General features: G+C 35.3%; 1 protein-coding gene across 22 annotated transcripts in view, besides 2 other annotated features; it reads right to left on the reverse strand.

Annotated features, from left to right (window-relative positions):
* The window catches only part of COL24A1 (collagen type XXIV alpha 1 chain), a 427,752-nt gene that overhangs the window by 233,747 nt on the left and 168,699 nt on the right, over positions 1-25,306 (reverse strand). For 14 of the 22 annotated variants that reach the window (NR_146340.2, NR_146341.2, NR_146342.2 and 11 more), the window contains 4 exons: positions 24,622-24,675; positions 8,361-8,414; positions 7,248-7,292; positions 2,030-2,083 (listed from right to left, as the gene is read on the reverse strand). Coding sequence is in view for 16 of the 22 variants with exons in the window: in XM_047417004.1 (XP_047272960.1) it covers positions 2,030-2,083; positions 7,248-7,292; positions 8,361-8,414; positions 24,622-24,675 (207 nt within the window). In the remaining 6 variants the exon portion in view is untranslated. Of the gene's footprint in view, positions 1-1,226; positions 1,325-2,029; positions 2,084-7,243; positions 7,293-8,360; positions 8,415-19,728; positions 19,774-24,621; positions 24,676-25,306 lie in introns of all 22 variants that reach the window. The other 8 variants (XM_017000925.3, XM_017000924.3, XM_017000927.2 and 5 more) reach the window with 2 other exon arrangements.
* Positions 678-847: an enhancer, noted in NCBI's record as "experimental_9402 CRE fragment used in MPRA reporter constructs". NCBI's record gives its function as "activates a minimal promoter by MPRAs in K562 erythroleukemia cells, with activity observed for the non-introgressed 1:86429425 variant allele {active_cell/tissue: K562}" and the evidence as "EXISTENCE:reporter gene assay evidence [ECO:0000049][PMID:34662402]".
* Positions 13,933-14,012: an enhancer, noted in NCBI's record as "active region_1273". NCBI's record gives its function as "activates an Ori minimal core promoter by ATAC-STARR-seq in GM12878 lymphoblastoid cells {active_cell/tissue: GM12878}" and the evidence as "EXISTENCE:reporter gene assay evidence [ECO:0000049][PMID:35858748]".

Here is a 25,306-nt window from a genome sequence, read left to right on the forward strand (position 1 = left end):
TCATTAATAATTTCAATATTGATTACATGTTGAAAGGATATAATATTTGGATATCTTGAGTTAAATAAAATATACTATTAAATTAATTTTACTTCTTTCTTTTCACTATCTAATGTGGCTCATATTTGCAGTTCATGTTGCATTTCTATTGAATAGTGGTGATTTTAAGCACTGAAACCTAATATTCATCATGAGTGATCACTGAAATAAACTTTCAAAGTCTACACAAATTTTCTTTTCAGTTTCTGTATGTATTTAGATAAATAGTAAAGAATGAAGCACAGCAGTAGGTTTTAATAACTAATTTTAACAGGCAGTTCATTAGACAGCATTTATGGAAAATTTATGGAAGAATAATATATGAATTATTGGTTTTCTAGTATTTTTCCCTCCTTACCCATAAGTTACCCTTCTTAAATTCCAAATTTGTGCTACTTAGTTTTAAGGGAGGTTTGTGTTAATAGTCAAAAAGCAAAAGTTGTTTGCAGATTACTTGCATTCTTACTTTAGTTTTCAGAATCTGAAGGTAAGAAGTTACTTGTCTTTGACGACAATGAAAGAGAGAGAGAGAAGCTATTTCCCCAGGCCTAGAAAGAAAACACAGATCTAGGGTTCTATGAAGAGTGTGTCCCTTAAGCAACTCCCCCAGGCAGTGCCAGGTCCGAGTTAATAGCTACATGATGTATTGAAACGCAAATTTCAGTGACAGCTAGGGAGGAATGAACATTACAAAATTTCCTGTGTTTACTAGGTAACACAGAAGCCACCTAGATTTTGGTGTGATTCTAGGGAGAGAAAGTATATACATAAATGAGATTCCGTTTCTTGCCAGTTTCACTGGATGGTAGCTCACAGTTGGATTTCCTAGCGCTATTTGGCAGTCTAGTAAAGGAGAATTGTTAATCCCAGGCAAGGAGAATTGATTAAGCCTTTTGTTTGTAAATACTACAATCCTATTTTTCAGAGGACTTTTATATGTAACTTGAGAAAGAGTCAGGTACACATATTCTGCCCCAGGATAACTTTAGCCTCATACATACTGATATATTAAAACATACTTCAGCTCATATTTCTTTATCAAGCTTGAAAAGTGTTGTTTAGCTTTTCGTTAGGTTCCAGCATCATAAAAATGATACATTTAATACAAAAAAATAGCTTCAGGAAACGTAGTAATAATGCTGTGACTATGTCAATTCATAGTTAAATTTTCAATTTGCAAAACTTACCAATTCTTATAAGCTAGTTTCTTTCAGGTCTCAATTCTGTATGTAATAAACCATTGCATTACTTTATATTTGTTGGTGTTATAAAAATTATCCAAGACCTTGGAAATAAAGTAAATAGTGAGAGATATATCTTTTTAATATCATAAAGTGATGAAGGTTACCCAGTGATTATCTAGTGAATATTACTTAGACTCACTGTTTACTAGTGATTAAAAGATCCAGACTTAGTAATGTTATAGAAACTTGCACATTTCTACCCAGTAGAATTGAAAACCCCAGCAGTTATGGTTTATTGCCCTGTATGTAACACACAAATCTTATCCTAACATTTCTTTATTAAATCACATACATAGATATAGATACAGATACAGACATAATCACAGATACACAGATTGAGCATCCAAAATCTGAAGATCTGAAATCATAAATGTTCCAAAATCTGAAACTTTTTGAGTATCAGCATGACACTGAAAGGAAATGCTCATTGGAGCATTTTGAATTTCAGATTTTTGGATTTGGGATTCTTAACTTGTAAGCATGTATAATGCAAATATTTAAAACTCCAAAAAAATTGGAACTCTGAAACACTTCTGGTCCCATGCATTTCAGATAGGGGATACTCAACCTGCATATAAATAGATACAGATATAAAGATATAGATTCTCAGTTGCTCTTTGTAACAGTTTTAACATCTCACTGGTTCTTTTTAAGTTGATGTGTTCATTTCACATTTGTATGAAAGTCATAATTTTATCTTTCTGAAAATTATATTTTAAAACTGATAATAAAGTCAGTTGCTTTACCTTTAAGCCTTCTGGTCCTGGTTCACCTGCATACCCCTTTTGACCTGGTTTTCCCTAGAAGAGAACAGCATAAAAGAAGAAAGTATATATGTTTAGTCATTCTCATTTTTGAAAGTTTCCTAAGATATATGAAATTTAGACTATTCTTATAAATTTAAATACTTTAAAATTATTTGATAAATGTATTTCATCATACTCATTTGCCATTCATTCTACAAATATCCAACTGTCTACTATGTGCCATGAACGGTTCTAGATGCAGAGGATCGAGGACTGCACTGAACATACCTGCCCTCATAGAGCTTGTATTTTAGTGAGAATAACAATGTTTTAAAAAATAAGTAAAATATATAGTATGTTAGGCAGTGGTAATATGTAAGGTAACAAATCAAGCAGGGAAGGGATATATAAACTGTTGTGGGAGTTTTATTGAAAGTGTTTGTAAGATTCCAGGAAAGAAGCCCTCACCGAAAAGTTCTTTGCAGATTACTTGTATTCTTACTGTAGTTTTCCGAGAGTCTGAAGGTAAGAAGTGACTTGTCTTTGATGACAATGAGAGAGAGAGAGAGAGAAGCTATTTCCTCAGGACTAGGGAGAGAAGAGAGATCCCAGGATTCTGTGAAGAGTGTGACCCTTGACCCCTCAACCAACTTCCCCAGAGAGTGCCATTTCCTGGGGGAGTTGGCAGTTTGGTGGCATTTGAGTAAAGACCTAAAGAAAGGGACAAGTTAAATGGATATCTGAAGGAAAAGTGTTCCAGGCAGAGGAAAAGGGCCTGTGCACAGGCACTACAGCTAAAATGTGTGTAGTATGTTGGAGGAACCAGGAGAAGCTGAAGAATTGAGAGAAGACCAGTAAAGTGATGAGGTCAAAGGAAATGGGGGATGAGAAGTCAGGTCATGTAGGGCCTTGCAGGTTGCAGTTAGGACTTTGACTTTTAACTGAGTGAGATAGGAAGCCTCAGACAACTTTAAGGAGAAAACTGATGAGATCTAAGTTTTAACAGGATCACTTTGATTCCAGGGTAGAAGAAGAGAGTCCAAATAAGCGTCTAGTACAATAATCCAAGTGAGAGATGATGGGGATGTGAATCAGGGTGGTAGCAGAGTGGTAAGATTCTGGATATAATGTGAAGGTAGAGCTTCCAGGAACTGCTGGCGGGTCATGTGTGAAACGTGGGAGAAAGAGAAGACTCAAAAATGAATCTCAGGTTTTTAATGTAAGAGTAGCAGACCAAATGAAATGAAGAAGACTGAAAACAGGTTTGGAGGGTAAATAAGAAGCTAAGTTTTGGACATGTTAGTTTGATATGCTTGTTAGACATCTAAATGGAGAGATCTTGTGGTAGTTATTTATACAAGTCCAGAATTTAACTGGATCAGTTAAATTCTTTCTAATCAGTAGAAAGATCTGACAGGAAGAAATAATCTTAGAAACCACCAGCATTTTCATTTTGATGGTATTTAAAGTCCTAGGGTGGATGACCTCATTTAGCCAGTGAGTATAGATAGAAATGAGAAATCCACAGGCCAATCTTTGGGGTACTCCAAAACTTAGAATTTGAAGAAATTAGAAAAATATTTAATTTGATGCCAGAAAGTGAGGAGGAAAATCATGGAAGTAAATAAATTGTTTCTAGGAGGAGAGAGTGATCTTGTCAAATTCTGAAAAATAGAAATATTGAGTAATAAGAGGACTTTGAGGATTGAGAAATGATAATTGGATCCAGCAATACAGAAACCACTGATCGTATTTATCAGATCATTTGTATTGTAGTGGTGGGAACAAATGTGGTTTAAGCAGATAGAGGGAAGAGAAAAACTGAAAGAGCATGTATAGACAACACTTTTGAGGAATTTTACTGAAAAGGGAAAGAAAAAATAGGGTAACACCTGGGAGGGAAACTGACACCAAAAAAGTTTTGTTTTGTTTTTAAGCTAGAAGAATAACAGCAGCTTTATATGCTGATAGGAATGATTCTGTATAGAGAAAAGAATATGTAGGAGAGACAGAGGGAATTGTTGGACCAGTTATCTTGAGTAGTCAAAAGGACAGGGTATGTAGTAAACAAGTGGAAGTTTTCCTTAGCTTGAAAAATGGCCTGTTCATCCACAACAACAGGAAAGAAAGCAGAGTATAGATAAAAGAAGGTGGGTAGATGCAATGTCAGAAAACTGTAAGTTCTCTTCTGGTTACTTCAATCTTCTCAGGGAAGTAGGATGCAAGGCAAAGGCTAAGAATAAGGATGAGAGATAACTGAAAGGAGTTTGAAGAAACAGAAAGTATAAAGTAATAATTTAGAAAAGCAAAAGAATAAATAGGCTTGAAGATAGAATTCAGAATGTAATCAAAGGAATAATTATAATGTTTTAAGCAGGATGAGGAATTTGGGATCATAAAGGAGACAAGACACAATGGAAAGGCAGCAGAATCAATGCACTGACATTCCTATTGGGGCTATTAGATTGGATAATAAGAGAGAATGTATTAGAAAGAAAGATGGTGGTTGGGGAATGAGAAGTTCAAAATTGAAAATGAGAGGTTGCTATCACTGGTAATGACAAAGTAAAGGGTATGACTGTAGCAGTGAGTAGCTGAAAAGAATAGAGGATAAGATCACTGGGGGAGAGCAAGTCCACAGACGAGGTAGCAGGGTATGGTTTCAGGATGAAACTGGTCCACCTCAGAAGATCATCAGGCATTAGATTCTCATAAAGATCACGCAACCTAGATCCCTTGCTTGCACAGTTCACAATAGGGTTTGCGCTCCTATGAGAATCTAATGCTGCTGCTCATCTGACAGGAGGTGAAGCTCAGGCAGTTAGATGGTCAATACTTAGTGTCAACTTGATTGGATTGAAGGATACAAAGTATTGATCCTGGGTGTGTCTGTGAGAGTGTTGCCAAAAGAGATTAACATTTGAGTCAGTGGGCTGGGGAAGGCAGATCCACTCTTAATCTGGTGGGCACAATCTAATAAGCTGCCAGTGAATATAAAGCAGGCAGAAACATGTGAAAAGGAGAGACTGCCCTAGCCTCCTAGCCTACATCTTTCTCCCATGCTGGATGTTTCTCTGCCTTAGATCATTGGACTCCAAATTCTTTAGTTTTGGGACTTAGACTGGTTCTCCTTGCTCCTCAGCTTGCAGACAGCCTATTGTGGGAACTTGTGATCGTGTAAGTTAATACTTAATAAACTCCCCTTTATATATATCCTATTAGTTCTGTCCCTCTAGAGAACCTAGACTAATACAAGTGGTAACGCTCACTCCCAGTCCATGGCCTGGGGGTTGGGGACCCCTGCTATATTGGATTTTATTGCTGTTGTCAATTAAGACATGCTCTTATATTTTTTCTTCTTAAAGTGAAACAGAACAACTCTCTGGCTCCCATTCTGTTTTTACTACACATAAAAGCTTTAGCCACTTACAACTATATTTAAGACTTCTAGTCAAAACATTCTAATTTTTGCTTTTGACTGCTCTAAATTATCGAATCATTTCCTAACAAGCAAAAAGCAAAGCAAAGAACTGAAAACCATCCTATTATTATTAAATATCAATTGTTCTCTACTTAATTTAGATATACAGAACAAGAAATATAGTTAAGAACCTGAATTATTAGATTTTTTCTATGATATTTATAAAACCAATTCTATTTTTATTTCCACTGGTTGGTAAGAGCCTTAATGAGTCATTCCTTTCATCTTTAATAATACTCTTTCAAGCACTGTGTAGTACATTAAGATAGAGTTATACATATTTACATTATGGAAAGAATCTCACTGGAATCTGGTATCAGCACATTTTCAAAGTCTTTGAAATCAAGCATTTCAGAATATCAGTAACAGAATCATAACTTCTTGTCCTACTTAAATTCTATCATATTGTATTGATTTTGAGAGTGTTATACTTGAACATCTAATACTAAAATCTTATTTTCACATCTAAAAATAGGAACGATATCTTGCAAAGTTGTTTTCAGGATTAAAGATGATTCATATACTTATAGCAATACTAGGTCCCAAATTGATATTCAACAAATAGCAACAACAATAATAATTAATATTAAGACTGTGTAGACCAGAGTTGAATATGGTTCTCCTGTTTTCGAAGGAAGTAAATTTTAAATAAGATCAATTTTATTGGGCTCAAATACCAGTTTTTCTGTTAAATAATTCTCACGAAAAATAAAATGAAAACTCTTTTTTTTCCCCCAATGGGATATAGCAATATATGTGCTAGTAAGGTAAAAATGTGAAAGAAATAATCACAGTCTTTTTAAACGTAAAAGCATTTTAAGAACCAGTACTTTGGCCAGGCATGGTGGCTCACTCCTGTAATCCCAGCACTTTGGGAGGCCGAGGTGGGTGGATCACCTGAGGCCAGGAGTTCAAGACCAGCCTGATCAACATGGTAAAACCCCATCTCTACTAAAAATACAAAAATTAGCAGGGCATGGTGGCACATGCCTGTAATTCTAGCTACTCGGGAGGCTGAGGCAGGAGAATTGCTTGAACCCAGGAGGTGGAGGTTGCAGTGAGTCAAGATCACGCCACTGCACTCCAGCCTGGATGACAGAGTGAGACTCTGTCTCAAAAAAAAAAAAAAAAAAAAAAAAAAAAAAAGGAAGAACCAGTACTTTATGATGTTGTCAAGAAAAGAAATGAGATGTATTTCATGTGAGTCTAATGCCTCTTAAAATAAATGTAACACATATACCTTAATTATTTCATAAGGTAAACTTTGATCATGTATACCAAAAATGTTTAAATAATTCATTTCTAGAACTTGAAAACAAATAATTAACATATTACCCATGGTATTATCTGATGAAAAAATTGGCAGAAAATACATCTTATTAGCCTTCCATAATTTTACTAACACATTTAGAAAACAGGAAATCTCAGAATATTACTAAAATGGCTAAAGTATTTAGCTTCCTATTACATTTTGAGAAATTTATAAATAATTTGCACAAATTACTAAGTCTACAGACCACTGAAATAACAAGTAACTATGTAGTAGGCATAACATCATTCAAAATATATTTGGGACTTCCAGTTATTGGCCTATTTTATTTTGGGGCATTTTATGACTTTAATTTGTTTTCATTTTTGTCCTTTACTATAATGTAAAATGTTATGATGTTAAAAACATTTATAGAACAGCTATTTTCAAGAAAAGCACTTATGGAAAATTATTTATATGATACCTACTCTTGGCCCCAGTTCCCCAAAGGCTCCAATTGGTCCTTCTTCTCCCTTAAAAAAAAAAAAAGTCAGAACATATTATGGCCTAAAATGAGTATTTAAAAATGTAAACTCTTATTTTCTCTATTTATTCTAAAATGTGAAGCTCATTCTGAGATGTGATGAAAATAATGCTGTTATTTTCTTGTACTTTGAACTCCATCACCCCACAACACTTTAGTTTTTTTGTGTGAACCTGGTGCATTCGTGTAGGGACCAAAAACTATATGGGTGGATAGAGACTGAAGATGAACATAGAAAAAAATTAAAAGCTTTTATTCATAATTCTCTAAAAGAAAAAAAGGCAGTAAGTGTTTTTACTCCATTTATAGACATATTTACTAAATATACTGATTTACCTTTAAAAAATAGATGATTGTTTTCTGAATAATACATACAGACCTCCCTAGAATCATATAGTATATGTTATTTATTTGGTAAATATTTTGCTCAATTCACAATTCAATTAAAATATAATTTATTGGTTCAAAAATATTAAGTAGTCACAAATAGTAAATATAAATTCTAGTATATATGAGTGAGATTCTGGGTTCAGATTCTTCAGACATTCCATTGGAGACCACTAACATAAATCATTTAATGAATTCAGAACACTGTAAAATGATTCTTAATTCTATTCCATAACTGGCAAAATAAAGTGTTAACTTGAAGGCTGGGTGTAGTGGCTTATACCTGTAATCCCAGCACTCTGGGACATTTAGGTGGGAGGACTGCTTGAGGCCAGAAGTTCGGCCAGCCTGGGTAACATAGCAAAACTGTGTCTTTACAAAAAATACAAAAATTAGCCAGGCATGGTGGTGCACCTGTAGTCCCAGCTACTTGGGAGGGTGAGGCAGGAGGATTGCTGGAGCCCAGGAGGTCGAGGCTGCAGTGAGCCAAGATAGCACCACTGCACTCCATCCTGGGCAAGAGACCAAGACTCTGTCTAAATATATAAATAAAATGGTAACTGGAAATCTGATGGTGTTTAAGCAAAAACTGAAGGCCCACAATAAATAAAAAGGGAAAATTTTAACTAAAAACCTTGCTGAAGCTGACTGGATATCACTTCTTCCATACCTGAGTTCCTTTGAGACCAGGAGGTCCAGGAGGTCCTCTATTTCCAAGGAGTCCCTATAAAAGCAATATAAATGCACACAATAGAAATTTTAGATCAACTGACATTTTGATAAATCAGCATTAATGTGGAGATGGACAATACTCTTTGAAACCATTCATTTCCCATTAAGAAGTCCTCAAAATGGGTTGCAGTATGGGCAAACAGAAAACTACTGGGCATCTAAAAATATAGGATAAACTTATTTTTAAACAGTAAGTTAATATTCAAATAATCTGCTCAGTATTTTATTCTTCAACCTCCAGACACCTTTTCAGAAAAAGTATTTCTAAAACGGAAGCAATGGGTCCAAATGTTAAACTGATAAGAGTACAGTAAACCGAATAGAGTGTTCACAAAGTCTGAAAACAGATGGAGGAAACAAACAGTGTTTTAATATCTATTAAGAGATCTGCAGAGTCTGGAACTCAGTATTCGTTAGCTGAAGAATGCATTAGTTCTTCATTACTCATTAGTTGAAGAATATTCTTCAACTTATTTCCCTTTTTGATACAAGATGATAAAAAGAGAAGAGGAATTTGCAGAAGAAAGTGAGTGTGAATTTGAATAGAAATTTCAATACTAAAAAAGTATTTTGTTAAACAAAATACATGTTGTTAAAAATCGATTGCTCTCTGAATGAAAACTCTTTCAAAGTTAATTATTTTTAAAAAGTCTTAAATCAGAAAACACTATACAACATCTATTCAACATGGCAACATTTTCTTAATAAGTTCTGTTCTCCTAATTATTCAAGATGCCAGCAAAGTTCTAAGTCTCTTTTTAGAATTATAGTTTGAATGATTGCTTTTAGTCATTTTATAACCATTAAGAAGTTTTATCTAATTTTTAACTGTACTGACATAATTTTTAAATAACTATACCAAAGAGCAAATCTACTCAGGTCACTTTTATCTTGTTCTGAAATGCAACAGAGTGACAAACTACATGGGAATCTTTCCTTCATGTTATATTTTGCTCTATACTTTCTATACTTTAACACAATAAAAAAAAACTCTGTCAGTTTAAAAGTCTATAATATAGTATTGTAAGCTTATTACATAAACAGCACCATTCAAGAAACTGTATTACTTTAGACAATAACCTAACTTTTTAATGAAGCTTTCTTATTTTTAAAAGTAAGATATGGATTAGATTATGGAAATGGGCACATTGTGTCTTATGCCAGTCCAATGTATGTTAATCCTTTTTCAGGCAAAAGCACCCTAATTTTCCTTAAGGAAAAACTCTCTTCACTTTTAGTGCACGTTGTTTGAGGGGAGGTGACTCCACCTTCGACTGTAACTGTGAACATGTGACAGACATCTAAGTCAGTCAGTATATTGTGCATCCCCAGAAAAAATGACTGGTCCAGGAATGAGTAAGGGACCCAATTCAGCCCAACTGAAGCACGTTTCAAACTTCAGTGGCACTGCTGGGAATAGCATTAAGAATGAGGTAAAACTGAACAGTGGGAAACCATCCAGGGGACAGCCTGAGAATGAAATCAATGAATTACCAAATGGAGAGAGTTGGAGTGACTGGGCTCTTCTGAAATTGTTTAGAGTCCTGAATTCAGTTGTGATTGAATCCCTGAAGTTTTCATATATTTATGTAAGCCTGTTTAAGCTGGGTTTCCACCACTTACTGAAATAATCCTGATTGATACAATGATTTAGAACTGCCTTCAATATCTGAAACTGCTCTTTCAGAATTCAAAGTGAAAGATTTTAAGTGTCTACACTGACTGGAGGTACAGAATTAGAATGTTGTGATATTTGCATTCTACCACCTGTCAGCTAGTGTTTAATCACTTAATTCATCTGTTTGTTCATTTTTCATCTGAAATTTTATTAATTTTCTACTATGTATAAGGCTCAATTAACAGCACAATATTAGGCCCTAAGTATATAATTATCAGTAAGACAGAGTCCCTGTTCCCAATGAATTCATAATTTATTATGGCAGATGGTCCATTAAAATAAAAATTATTACATTAAGAGTTGTAACAGAAGTAGAGGTATATGCAAAGTATAAATAAGAATTTAGAAAAAGGAGCAAAATCCTTTCTGGGAGGATTAGCATATTTTTAATATGTGAAAATAATTTTGTATTGAGTTATGATAGGCTAATAAAAACTTGTAGATAAAAATAAGCATACAATAAAAAATTATAAACAACTTCTGTTCTGGGGCTCAAAAGGCTCTAAGAACATACAATATTAAGATAAGGGTGTGCATGAAAGAAACAGGCTCAGCTCCATAGCCAGAGTGTAACCTGCAGACGGCTGACCGGTTAAAGGGAATGAGGTCCCCCTAACTCTCTCATTGAAGCTATTTACTCGAGATGGAACCACTTATCCAGAACCAGAAATAATCCTTTCGGTGAAGCAGGCAAATCTAGGCTACTTTTTCTCTCTTCTTTCAAAACCAAAATTATAATCTTAAAGGAAAAATAAAAGTTGGGTTAAGAGAAAAAAAATCTAGTTATATGCCATTTATAAGAAACACACCTAAAATATAAAATATGCAAGGCATTTACCAGCCCAAAAGAGCTGATGTAATTACATTATTATTAGATCTAGCAGACTTGAAGGTAAACTACATTGTTTAAGTGTGTAACTAAATAGTGATTAAAGGTTATATTCATCAAGAAGATATAAAAACCATCATTTTTTGTGTATCTAATAACATGAATTCCAAGTATAAAAAGTGAAAATTGATGAATATGTAAATAGAGTTGGGCAAATCCACTATTAGAGAGGGAAATTTTAAGACATTTTTCTCCAGAAGTCAAGCAGATAGAGACCACAAGAACAGAGAAAACTTAAACACTAATATTAACAAACTTGATCTAGTGGTCATCTATAGAATACTGAATCCTCAAATGGGAATTTACATAGTTTACAGGCGCACCTGGAGTATTTGTGCAAACCAACCACAAGAAAGGCCATATGTGTTTATCAGCAGTAGTATCAATTAAAAAATTATAGCACATCTATATAGTGGGTTATACTATAAAATGTAAATTAAGAATGAACCTATAATTACATGTATCAACCTGGATTAAGATGAAAAGACAAAATTGAATGGAAGAAGAAAGTCACTGAAGAATATGCATAGTAGAATTCCATTTACATGAATTTACAAAACACGCAAAGTACCAGATATTGTAGGAGTATATTTATAGATGGTAAAAGCATGGCAAAAACAAAAGAACATTTACCTCTAAATGCAGAGAGGGAGGAGGTAGACACAATTAGAGAGAGACACACAAGGGGCTTCCAATGTTCTATTTAATATCCTTAATAGGGTTTGTTTTATCATCATTGTTTAAGCTGTGCACATATGTTTCATATTTATCATATGTTAAACACAAACTTTAAAAAAGTTAAAATGTGCAGAACTGGAAGTAGAGTGCAGATTTGAAATCCAGTTCTGCACTTTACTAGAGATGTAAACTATTTCTTAATCTATAGAATCATGTTACCATCAGCATCATAAGGTTGCTGTAGGAATAAATAAAATGATACATAGAATATAACAGGAACTTAATAAATATCAGTTTCCTTTCTCCTTTTATATCAGACATTAATTAGTAGACATTTCTCAAAGGGAGACATACAAGTGGCCAATAAATAAATGAGAAAATGTTCAACATTGCTAGTCATCAGGGAAATGCAAATCAAAACCAGAATAAGATATCATCTCATTAGAATGATCATTATTAAAAAGACAGAAAATAACAAATGCTGGTGAGAACACAGAGAAAGGGTGATTTATTGGTGGGAATGTAAATCAATACAGCTAATATGAAAAAAGTATGGAGTTTCCTCAAAAAAATAAAAATAGAACTACCATATGATTTAGCAATCCCACTACTGAGTATATATACCAAAGAAAGAAAATCAGTATATCAGAGAGATAATCTGCATTCTCAAGTTTATTGCAGTGTTACTCACAATAGCCAAAATACAGAATCAACATAAGTATCCACCAACAGATGACTGGATAAAGAAAATGTAGTATATTATACACAATGGAATATTATTCCACCATAAGAAGAATGAAATCCTATATTTGCCACAACAAGGCTAGAATGGGAGGATATTATATTAAGTGAAATAAGCCAGACACAGAAAGACAAATGTTGCATGTTCCAACTCATATGTGGAAGCTAAAAAAAAATTGATCTCATGGAGATAGAGAATAAATTGAATGGTGGTTAGCAGAGGTTGGGAATGGTAGTAGGGAAGGGGCTTCCACTTGGACAGAACAGTGTATGGAGACTCACATCATGGACTTTTGCTCCAAGAACCACTACAGTAAAGTACCAGGAAAACTTAAGGATTTCATAGATCCTCTGACAGAAATGGCATGCTGCTACAAATTCTGCAAGACAGCAAAAAAACTGTGAGTTCCCAAAGTGTGTGAGGGGGAACACCTGCCTCCAGACACACATCCCCACTGGGGACCCTGAAAACCCAGATTACAGGAGAAGGATTTAACCTTACCTAGAGCTGAAACTGATTTAGCGTGAAACATAAAAGTAGAAGCAGCAGCAGGAAGAGCATTGTAGGCACTCCCATTCTCCAGCTCAAGCCAAGGGAAGCCATCCTTGACTATATCTCACTAGGGCCCTCAGGGAAGGCAGCCGGCAGAATCTGGGAGGGGTCACAGGCTGAAAAAAGATTCCAACTGAACTTTGTAATAATTTTGACTGAATGCAAACTCTCTAGAGCAGAATCTGAGGGTGAAACGGAACTGTTGCAGAGAGTAGCACAGGAGCCAAGGCCAACAGTATTTGAAGGCAGGGAGGGGCGAGGCCTGAAAGCCTTGCTTGCTTTCTCAGCAGGGAAGCTTATAGCCTGGGGCAAGGTCTGAATGCTGAGCACAGGCTACCTGGAGACAAACTCAGTGCTGTTAGTAGGGCACATTGTCAGGGGCAAAACCGACCTCTACATGGGAGCTGGGTAAGACCTAATGCTACCGGCTTTCCCCTACTTCTCTGATGACAGAGGGTATTATGGAACAAAATGCCCTCTGGAACATAACCCCATTGGCCCAAGAACCACACCCCCTCCCCCACAGGAGTGTGGCAAGCCCTGCCCAAGGAGAGAGTCTGAGCTCAGACTGGCGTAACCCTGCTCCCACCTGATGGTACTTCTCTACCCGCCTAGTAGCCAATCACAAAAGACATAAACTCTTGGGAGCTTTATGGCCTTGCCCATCACCTGAGAAACCCAAATACTTATTCTGGCCAACTTAGGGCAAGCTTATATCCCCCTTCCACTACTGCAGCTGGTGCTCTCTTGAAAGCAATACCTCCTGGCTGGAGGCCAACCAACTCAGGATATTATGGCAACTCATGACAAAATAACCTGACAAAATAACCCTACTCCAAGGAAGTACTCAAAAATAACTCATGACAAAATAACCCTACTCCAAGGAAGGAGAAAACAACAGCTAATTCCACTGACTGCAACACCCTGGCTAACCAGAGGTCCTGAGTCTGTTCACTGCTAGCATAACCAGCATTTGAGAAAGCCAGCACGTGAAACGTATCTACAACCAAGGACTCTTACAGTCTACTTCACTCCCCTGCCACCTCCACCAGAGCAAGTGCTGGTATCGACAGCTGAGAGACCTGAAAATGGATTACATCACAGGACACTTTGCAGACAATCTCCAGCACCAGCCTGGAGCCTGGTAGCCCTGCTGGGTGGCCAGACCCAGAAGAGCAATAACAATCACTGCAGTCCAGCTCTCAGGAAGCCCCATTCCTAGAAGAAGGGGGAGAGCACCACATCAAGGGATCACCCCATGGGACAAATTAATCTGAACAGCAGCCCTTAAGTTCCAAATCTTTCCACTGAAACAGTCTATCCAAATGAGAAGGAACCAGAAAAGTAATTCTGGTAATATGACAAAATAAGGTTCTATTACACCCCAAAGACCACACTGGCTCCCCAGCAGTGGATCCAAACCAAGAAATCTCTGAATTGCCAGATAAAGAATTCAGAATATTGATTATTAAGCTACTCAAGGAGATACCAGTGAAAGGTGAAAACCAACTTAAAGAAATTTAAAAAAACAAACAATACAGGCTATAGATGAAAAATTCTCCAGAGAAACAGATATCATAAAAATATAATCACAACTTCTGGATATGAAAGACAAACTCAGAGAAATACAAAATGCACTGGAAAGTGTCAATAATAGACTAGGACAGGTAGAAGAAAGAACTTCAGAGCTCAAAGACAAAGCTTCCTAATTAACTCAATCAGACAAAGACAAAGAAAAAAGAACAAGAACAACAAAAAAAGAAGAAAGCCTCCACAAATTTTAGGATGGTGTTAAATGGCCAAACCTAAGAATAATTGGTGTTCCTGAGGCAGAAGAGAAATCTAAAACTTTGGAAAACTTATTTTAGGAAATAATCGAAGAAAACCTCCGTGGCCTTGCTAGAGATAGAGACATCCAAATATAAGAAGATCAAAGAACAGCTGGGAAATTCATCACAAAAAGATCACCACCTAGGCACACAGTCATCAGGTTCTCCAAAGTCAAGATGAAGGAAAGAATCATACGAGCTGTGAGGCAAAAGCATCAGGTAGCCTATAAAGGAAAACATATCAGATTTACAGCAGATTCCTCAGCAGAAACCCTACAAGCCAGAAGGGATTGGGGTCCTATTTTTAGCTTCCTCAAACAAAATAATTACCAATCAAGAATTCTGTATCCAGCAAAATTAAGCTTCATAAACAAAGGAGAGGTAAAGTCGTTTTCAGACAAACGTGTGAAGAGCATTCACCACTACCAAGTCAGCACTACAAGAACTGCTAAAATGAGTTCTAAAGCTTGAAACAAGCCTTAAAATACACCAAAATAGAACCTCCTTAAAGCATAAATCTCACAGGCCTATAAAACAACAACACACACACACAAAACCCACAAGATATTCAGGCAACAACTAACACGATGAATAAAATGGTACCTCACATCTCAATATTAACGTTGAATGTAAATAGCCTAAATGCTCCACTTATGGCAGAATGAAAAAAAAATCCATCAATTAAGTATCTGCTGTCTTCAAGAGGCTCACCTAACACATAAGGACTCAAATAAACCTAAGGTAAAAGGGTGGAAAAAGGTATTTCATGCAAATGGAAACCAAAAGCAAGCAGGACCTCAATAACAGTTAAAAAAAAGACAAAGAGGGATATTATATAATGATAAAAGGATCAGTCCAACATGAAAATGTCACAATCCTCAATATATATGCACCTAACACTGGAGCTTCCAAATTGATAAAACAATTATTACTAGACCTAAGAAATGAGACAGATGGTGACACGATAATAGTGGGGGATGTTGATACTCTACTGACAGCACTAGGCAGGTCGTCAAGACAGAAAGTCAACAAAGAAAGTGAACTTCATCTATGCCCTAGAACAAATGAACTTAAAAGATGTTTACAGAACATTCTACCCAACAACTGCAGAATAGACATTCTTTTCATCAGAGTATAGAACATTCTCCAAGATAGATCACATGAGAGACTGCAAAACAAGTCTCAATAAATTTAAGAAAATAGAAATTATATCAAGTACCCTCTCAGACCACAGTGGAATAAAACTGGAAATTAACTCCAAAAGGAACCCTCAAAACCATACAAACACATGAAAATTAAATCATCTGCTCCTGAATGATCTCTGGGTCAACAATGAAATCAAGATGGAAATTAAAAAATTATTTGAACTGAACGATAATAGTGACACAACCTATGAAAACCACTGGGATACGGCAAAAGCAGTAGCAAGAGGAAAGTTCATAGTATTAAATGCCTATATCAAAAAGTCTGAAAGAGCACAAATAGACAATTTAAGGTCACACCTCAAGGAAGTAGAGAAACAAGAACAAATAAAACCCAAACCCAGCAGAATATAAAATAAATAATAAAGATCAGAGCAGAACTAAATTAAATTGAAACAAAAAATACAAAGATAAATGAAACAAAAAGCTGGTTCTTTGAAGGATAAATAAAATTGATAGGCAATTACTGAGATTAACAAAGAAAAGTAGAGAGAAGATCCAAATAAGTTCAATAGAAACGAAATGGGAGATATTACAACTGATACTACAGAAATACAAAAGATCATTCAGCCTACTATGAACACCTTTACGCACACAAACTAGAAAACTTAGAGGAGATGTATAAATTTCTGGAAGTATACAACCCTCCTAGATTAAACCAGGAAGAAACAGAAACTCTGAACAGATTAATAACAAACAGAAAGATAGAAATGATCATTTAAAAACTGCCAAAAAAAAAAAAAGTCCAGGACCAGAGAGATTCACAGCTGAATTCTATCAGACATTCAAAGAAGAATTGGTACCAATCCTATTGACACTATTCCAAAAGACAGAGAAAGAGGGGATCCTCCCTAAATCATTCCATAAAGCCAGTATCACCTTAATACCAAAACCAGGAAAGGACATAACAAAAAAGAGAAACTACAGAACAATATCCCTGATGAATATAGATGCAAAAATCCTCAACAAAATACTAGCTAACCAAATCTAACAGCTTATCAAAAAGATAATACACAATGATCAAGTGGGTTTCATACCAGAAATGCAGGGATGGTTTAACATATGCAAGTCAATAAATGTGATACATCACATAAACATCATTAAAAACAAAAATCATATGATCATTTCAATAGTTGCAGAAAAAGCATTTGAGAAAATTCAGCATCATTTTATGATTAAAACCCTCAGCAAAACTGGCATAGAAGAAACATACCTCAAGGTAATAAAAGCCATCTATGACAAACCCACAGTGAACATTATGGTGAATGGGGAAAAGTTAAAAGCATTCCTGCTGAGAATTGGAACAAGACAAGGATGCCGACTTTCACCACTGCTATTCAACATTGTACTGGTAGTCCTAGCCAGAGCAATCAGACAAGAGAAAGAAATAAAGAATCGGTAAAGAGGAAGTCAAACCATTGCTGTTTGCTGATGATATGATTGTATACCTATAAAACCCTAAAGTCTCATCCGAAAAACTCCTAGCTCTGATAAATAGATTCAGTAAAGTTTCAGGATACAAAATCAATGGAGACAAATCATTAGCACTGCTATACACCAACAACGAGCAAGCTGAGAATAAAAATCAAGAACTCAACCCCTTTTACAATAGCTACAAAAATAAAAAATAAAATACTTAGAAGTATACCTAACCAAGGCGGGTGCGGTGGCTCATGCCTGTAATCCCAGCACTTTGGGAGGCCAAGGCAGGCGGATCACAAGACCAGGAGATCGAGACCATCCTGGCTAACAAGGTGAAACCCCGTCTCTACTAAAAATACAAAAAAATTAGCCAGGCATGGTGGTGGGCACCTGTAGTCCCAGCTACTTGAGAGGCTAAGGCAGGAGAATGGCATGAACCCAGAAGGCGGAGCTTGCAGTGAGCCAAGATCACGCCACTGCACTCCAGCCTGGGTGACAGAGTGAGATTCCGAGACTCCGTCTCAAAAAAAAAAGAAATATACCTAACCAAGAAGGTAAAAGACCTCTACAAGAAAAACTACAAAACACTGCTGAAAGAAATCATAGATGACATAAGCAAATGGAAACATATCCCATGCTCATGAATGGGCAGAATAAATATTGTGAAAATGACCATACTGCCAAAAGCAATCTACAAATTCAATGCAATTCTCATCAAAATACCATCATCATTCTTCATGGAACTAGAAAACACAATACTAAAATTCCTTTGGAACCAAAAAAGACCCTGAATAGCCAAAGCAACACTAAGCAAAAAGAACAAATCTGGAGCATCGCATTACCTGACTCCAAACTAGGCTATAGTTACCAAAACAGCATGGTACTGGTATAAAATTAGGCATGTAGACCAATGGGCCAGACAAGAGAACCCAGAAATAAAGCCAAATATTTACAGCTAACTAATCTTCAACAAAGCAAACAAAAACATAAAGTGGGGAAAGAAAGGACACCCTATTCAACAAATGATGCTGGGATAACTGCAAGCCACATGTGAAAGAATAAAGCTGGATCCTCATTTCTCATCTTACACAAAAAATCACCTTAAGATGGATCAAAGACTTGAACCTAAGACCTGAAACCATAATATTCTAGAAGATAACACTGGAAAAAAATCTTCTAGACACAGGCTTAGGCAAGGAAGTCATGACCAAGAACCCAAAAGCAAATGCAACAAAAAGAAAAATAAATAGATGGGACTTAATTAAACTAAAAAGCTTCTGCACAGTTAGAGAAAAAAACAACAGAGTGAAAAGTCAACCTACGTAATGGAAAGCAATATTTTCAAATCATGTATCTGATATGGGGTTAATATTCAAAATCTGTAAAACACTCCTATAACTCAATAGCAAACACCAAATTACTGGGCTAAAAATTGGAGAAAGGACTTTGGAGTATTCATCAAAGCAACTGAAAACAGGATCTCGCAGGAGTGCAAGTATCCTGTTTACATCAATGTTAACAGGATAAAAACTGGATATTTATATCTTGTTGATATAAACAGGATATTTGCACTGCTAGGTTCATTGCAGCTTTATTCACAATAGCCAAGAGGTGTCAACAACCCAAATGTTCATTGACAGATGAATGAGTAAAGAAAATGTGGTATATACAAACAATGGAATATTATTCAGCCATAAAAAGAAGGAAATCCTGTCATGTTACCAGATGGATGAACCTTGATGACATTATGTGAAATAAGTCAAATAAGCCAGTCATAAAAGAACAAATGCATAATTCCATCTATAGGCGGTATGTAAAGTAGCTAAACTCATAGAAGCAAAAAATAGGATGCTAATTGCCAGGGGCTGTGGGGAGGAGGGCAATGAGAAGCTGCTGTTCAATAAATATAGAATTTCAGTCATGTAAAATGAGAAATGTCTACAGATCTGTTGTACAACAGTGTGCACACATTTTGTTACAATACTGTAAACAAATCAGTAAAACAAATTTACTAAGGGGGTGTATTTCATGTTATATGCTTGTTCTTATTTAAACCCTTTAATTTTCTATTTAAGATCTGTCACAATCTGCTTTCTACCTTTTTTTTTTTAAGTCAGGTAGGTTTACTTCTGCTCTCCATTCCAGTGTTCATTTTGTATCTCTCATCCCTCGGCTCCACTTGGCCTGATCCAACCAATCTGACTAAAATCCCAACTTCTCTATTTTCTCAGAAAAATGATCATACAGATTATCCTCTCCTCTGAACTCCCTCCTACTCACTTATCATATGTTGCCCAGTTATTGTGCTTTTTACCTTTTCACTTATGAAGGGCTCATGTTTCCAGAGAATTACAAGTTCCTAACAAAAAGAAGACCATGTTTTAATTTTGTTTTTGAGTCACTGCTTAAACACAGTACCCTTCCCATTGTACAAACTCAATAAATATTTCTTAGCTGACTAAATGTTACCTGGAGAATAAATGTCTTATACAAGAAATCTGTGTATAAAATCCTGTTATAGTATATAGAATGTAAATCTTCAGGACTGGGTCAAAGTAATCTTAGAAAACTGTGTAGAGTTATACATCTTCCTCTTACCAAGTTAGCTTACCTCTCTACAGATAAATACATGACATACTGTAATAATTCAGTGCAAGAACTATTTCCATATATTACACAACATAATCCCACAAATAGTAAGCTTTCTATAAAAACTTATCAGGTCTGCTATGCAAAAGACAATAACAGCCTCTTTTAGCATCCCTAATTCCATAGCCAAAGTAAAAACACAAACCTTTATAGCAACAAATAAATTATTCCTCTGTTTACTGGAGAATAGAGAATATTTATTTGCTACTCTTACCTTCTGCAGTAAGCAGCAAAAGATCTGGTTTTGCTAATGTTACGGGATTCTTGAAAGCGGATTCCCAAACTGTGTAGTTCTCAAAAAGGCTTACTGATGTATGTTTTGTATCTTAATACAAATATACACACACATACAAATCCACAATCAGTAGAACTATAATTAACACAAGTTTCCATTCCTACTTTGAGGTTTTTAGTGAACTGGCAGAAAATGAACAGAAAATAAAAGCCTTCTTTATTGCTGTGCCAAATTGCTCTGGAAAGAACCCAAATTGTTTGCAAATAGGGTAACCATGTATTTCAAATACAGTGCACATGATTTTCTCGATGACCACATTGTATAGCCTCAACAGAGCTTTAGCAGTTTTTATCATTCCCATTTGCCAAACAAGACATGTATATAAAAATGAAAGAAGTTTCAAGATGCTTGCTTCTATGATACAGTACACCCAGCTAAAGAAACACATCATGTTAACAGGGTCAGTATGTTTGGCTGTTTTTCCCCTCTGTTTCTAGAAACAATTTCAACAAAAATGAGAAGGACCAAGAAGATAGACAAAACCAGATCCTTCTCAATCTACAGAACAGAAAATTATTATTTTCTTGTTCTTTTGATAAAATCATCCCAGGATATTCTTTTAAAATTCAGTGATGTGTATAACATCAATTAGTCTCATGATGTTGGTACTAATGACTCTACATACTCATGTTTATTAAATAAACTTAGATAATGGTTGAATTTCCAGTGGGTAGTAAGTACTAACATTGTTGTTCATTAAAATGTCTAGCTTTCAAGTCTTTTGCCCCAGTTTTGACATTCTAATTTCAAGACTAAAAGAATTAGTGAGAAGAAAGTTCTAAAGATCACTGTCATAAAAGAAAATTAAATAGGTCAGTTGGCTTTCTTCAGTTCTCTGACACTTAAACTTCAAGAGAAACAAAATTCCCAAACTGAAGAGAACTTTGAAAGTTCTCTGGTTCTTCACCTAGTATGATATGCACACTTAAAAACATTAAGTTCTATTATTACTTCCACCTGAAGTACATATTTCTCAATTACCCAGGAGAGAATCTATTGCTCAATTATCTAGGCTCTCAGAGCACTTCACCAACTCTTTTATATAGAACTTCTTATATTTCTTAATTATGATTATTTTTTATCTCTCCCACTAAATTGTAACCTTATCTGGAGGAGGGATGAGAGTTTAGAAATCTTTATAATCCCACATTTATTACTTGGTCTAACACAGAAGAAGCTCAACAAAGGTTGAATAAATAAGTTATTGAATGAATGGATAAATAAATGTATTTATATAATGTATAAAGTTCAAGTTCCTATGTATGCACCAGGTGAAGGGCTAAAGTTGGCAGGAAAAATCCGCAACTCCATTCTCTACACTATTTGTCTCTCTCAACTTCCTTCATACTTCTATTTCTGCTTTTCAACCTGGTTTACCGCGAACTATTAATTATTTCTACCTCTAGATGTCAAACGGTACCTCAAACTAAATATAACCAGAATCAAATTTCTTATCATCCCCATCCTCCAAAACTGCTCCTCTTCCTGAGTTGCCTATTTAAGTTCAATGACATCAGCAACCCAAGTCAAAGGCTGCTTTATCTTTGACTTCTCTTTCTTCCATCACCTTCTGTTAATCAGTTACCAAGTTGTTTTGTTTTTATTTCCAAAACACTTTTTAAATGGTCATTCAATTAATCATCCATTCAACCACTATTCACTGAGTTATTTATATGTGCTATCCATATTATAGTTATTATGATGTATATAAAATCAATTAATCTTTCTCAAAAAGATTACAGTCTAATAGACACATAAGCACATCAGAAGTTATAATACATAAAGATAAGTGCTTGATAGGTTTTTTTTCAGGAATATAGGAAAAGAATATTCCAATTAGATTTGGGAGGAACAGAAAAAGCTTCCTGGACATGTTGCATGTGATGTGTAGGTATTAGCTAGATGCAGAAGGGCATAGGAACATATATATCCAGACAAAAAATATGGCATGTAAGAAGCTGTGAGATTTGAGTAAGTATGGCATGGTTTGGCACTCTAAATAGTTTGGCTGAAGTGATGCTTTTGGAAGAGTGATGGTGGATATGACTGTATAACTACAGAATTATACAGAGAGGGTTTGGTCATAAAGAACGTTGTATAAAAAGTTAAAAAGTACAAGCCTTAACATGGAAGTTGTGGAGGTCACTGAAGGATTTAAGCAAAAGAGTGACATGATGAGATCTATACTTTAAAAGATTATTCCATCTGCAGCTGGAAGGTAGATAGGAAGAAATGCCAGATTGGAGGCAGGAAGAACAACTACTGAAGGACAATTACACTATCCTGGTGAAAAATAAAGGGTGCCTAACTACAAGATTGGCACTGAGAATGATTTTAAGGGTAAAGGGGAAATTTCTATCAAAGGAGAGATTGGGATAAAGGTGATAATTGATGGCATGAGGTCATTGAAGAGTCAGGGGAGGATTTGATGCAAAACATATGCAGAACTTGAAGAGGTGAATGAATGCTTCTGTGGAGACAGAAAGGAAGTGGGAAAGATCCCTGCATATAGGTATAAGTTTGTAGGTGGCAGGTGGGGTTGCCTGATAAACTACAGGATGCTCAATTAAATGTGAAATTCAGATAAACAACAAATAACTTCTATTATAAATATTTTCCAAATATTGCACCTCCACCTTTTCACAAGTTTCTTTTTCCTGAATACCATACATCCCCTTGTCTGCTTCACAAATTCCTACTCATTCATGTAGGTTCAAGTGCTATCTTCCCTGCAAAACATAATTTGACTTCCCTGACCCTGTGCTCTCACAGTATTGCTGATTATATATTATTCATTATGATTATTATTAAGGTTTTCCTGAATATCTTTCTCTAGATTTTAAGTTTCTTGAAAACAGGGATCAGGACTCTTTTTTTTCTTGAAAGTAGGGATCTCTGTAGCCTTATGGTCTAGCACAATGGCTGCCATGAGAGGCAGCCAATATCTGCTGAATGAATGTCCTGTTTCCAATCTTTATTATTTATTGCCTAGTTTTCCTGTCTTCAATTTCTCCCCTCTTTAAACCATCCTCCAAACTGACATAAGAGGTATCTTTTTAAAATATAACCATTGAAGATACTTTACTACTCAAATATCTTTGATTACTTCAAGATGCCCGTCTGATGAAGCAGAAACTCTTCAGCATGGTATTGAATGCTCTACGTAATTTACTATCAAAGCTAAGGGTATTAGAGCTCAGACTTTGAAATCATATCTGTGTTAGAATTCTGGCTATATAGCTTAAAGTTATGTGACTTCAAGTGAATAACTTAATCATCTGTAAAATGGGAATAACTACCTCATAATGCTGTTGTGAAAATTAAATGAGATAATGACTATAAACGAGATAATGTCTATGAAGCATTTACTAGAGTACTGTGCTGCTCAATATTAAGAACACTAACAAATATAGCTATAATCAAGATCCTTTCCAGCTTCATCTCCTATCATTTCATCTCTCTCTACTCCCATTGATACCTCCATAGCAGCTACATTTCATAACTTGCCAATTCTCCCAACTTCAGGCTATTTCATCCTTACATGTGAATTCATAATGCTTTATTTGCTTACAGTGCCCATTCTACATCAGCTTGCATGGCAAATCTTGGTAATTAAAATTTTGCTAGGGATATTTCCTAGTATACATACAAACCAGTAAGTTTGTATATATACCATAGTGTTAAATAAAATCTGTGCTGGGAAAAGGCCTAGAACGTTGCTTTAAAATGGTTAGATTAAAAGCATTGCCGAAATAATAAATTAGTATGTGAGTCATCATGATGAGTTTCAATAACGGTAATAAGCTAATAATTGTGGTTTCACTTGTAAGTTAAAAATGCTTGGGTTTCTTCAGGTCTTTTGTGCTATGTAGAGGTTCATGGACACCACAGGCTTTCTTTTATTTCAATCAATGGATATCTTATGTCCCCAAAAGATTTTTTTAGTGGTCAGGGAATTCTCATCCATTTACTTATTTTCAGCCTTTTATACGCTATGACTTTTTAGAGTTTTTTCTCCTCATCTCTTCCAAAAAAATCCTTCTGGGTGATTTTGCAAATATTGTCACCCTTAATCTCAGTTCATATCAAACTAGAAAAATCATTTGCAACTATCTGAAACCTAAAGTTTATTAAATGTACCTGAGACAGCTTAAAAATATCCAGAAATGTTCTGATATTCCTAAAATATTTTTCCCATTTATTGAGAATCAGGAGCTCTAGATAACCATAATTGTTTAGTCTCTCTCTTCTTCTTCTTCTTACCTTTGGTCCTTCAGGGCCGTTTTGTCCAGGAATCCCAATATCTCCTGGAAAACCCTAGGGAATATAAAAATGTAGCGTTTATTCCATAGAAAATTACTTTAAATCCATTTAGCATATAAAATTCCCTTTGCTATTCCTCCATATCCAGTTAAAGCAATTTATAATCCTCAAAAATTCAATATTGAAGATTAAGTTAGGCAGTTGTTTAACACTGGAATATAAAACTTACAAAGTGTACTAAAATAGAATTTACTCCATCAGTGATTCACAAACAATCCTGAGGTCCTCTAGTTCAGTTTAAGAGAGTAGAAGTCTCAGTCCAAAATTATCCACAATGTGGAAATAAGGCAAAAAGGTGTATGACATGTTCTTTCAACATCATATGGGATATAGGGCTACCAAAGATTAGGTGAATGTACTTTGTTGGACTCACTATTTACTAACTACATGTTAACTTATAGATTTTTGTTAGGCAGAGATGCAAACAACTTCTGTCTGATAAAAAAAAAAAACAGCACCCAAAATTATGGCTTAATATACAGGATTAATCAGTTTTGTATCTAACCCAACTATCTTATTCTAACATCCCCATATTTAATTGTCTATAAATACTTAAGTCCTCAAAGGCTCTATGAACCATTATCTTACAAGTTCCATCATTAATTAATAAATTGAATAAAATCTT

The sequence above is a fragment of the Homo sapiens genome, chromosome 1, assembly GCF_000001405.40.
Source record: "Homo sapiens chromosome 1, GRCh38.p14 Primary Assembly".
NCBI classification, from domain to species: domain Eukaryota; kingdom Metazoa; phylum Chordata; class Mammalia; order Primates; family Hominidae; genus Homo; species Homo sapiens.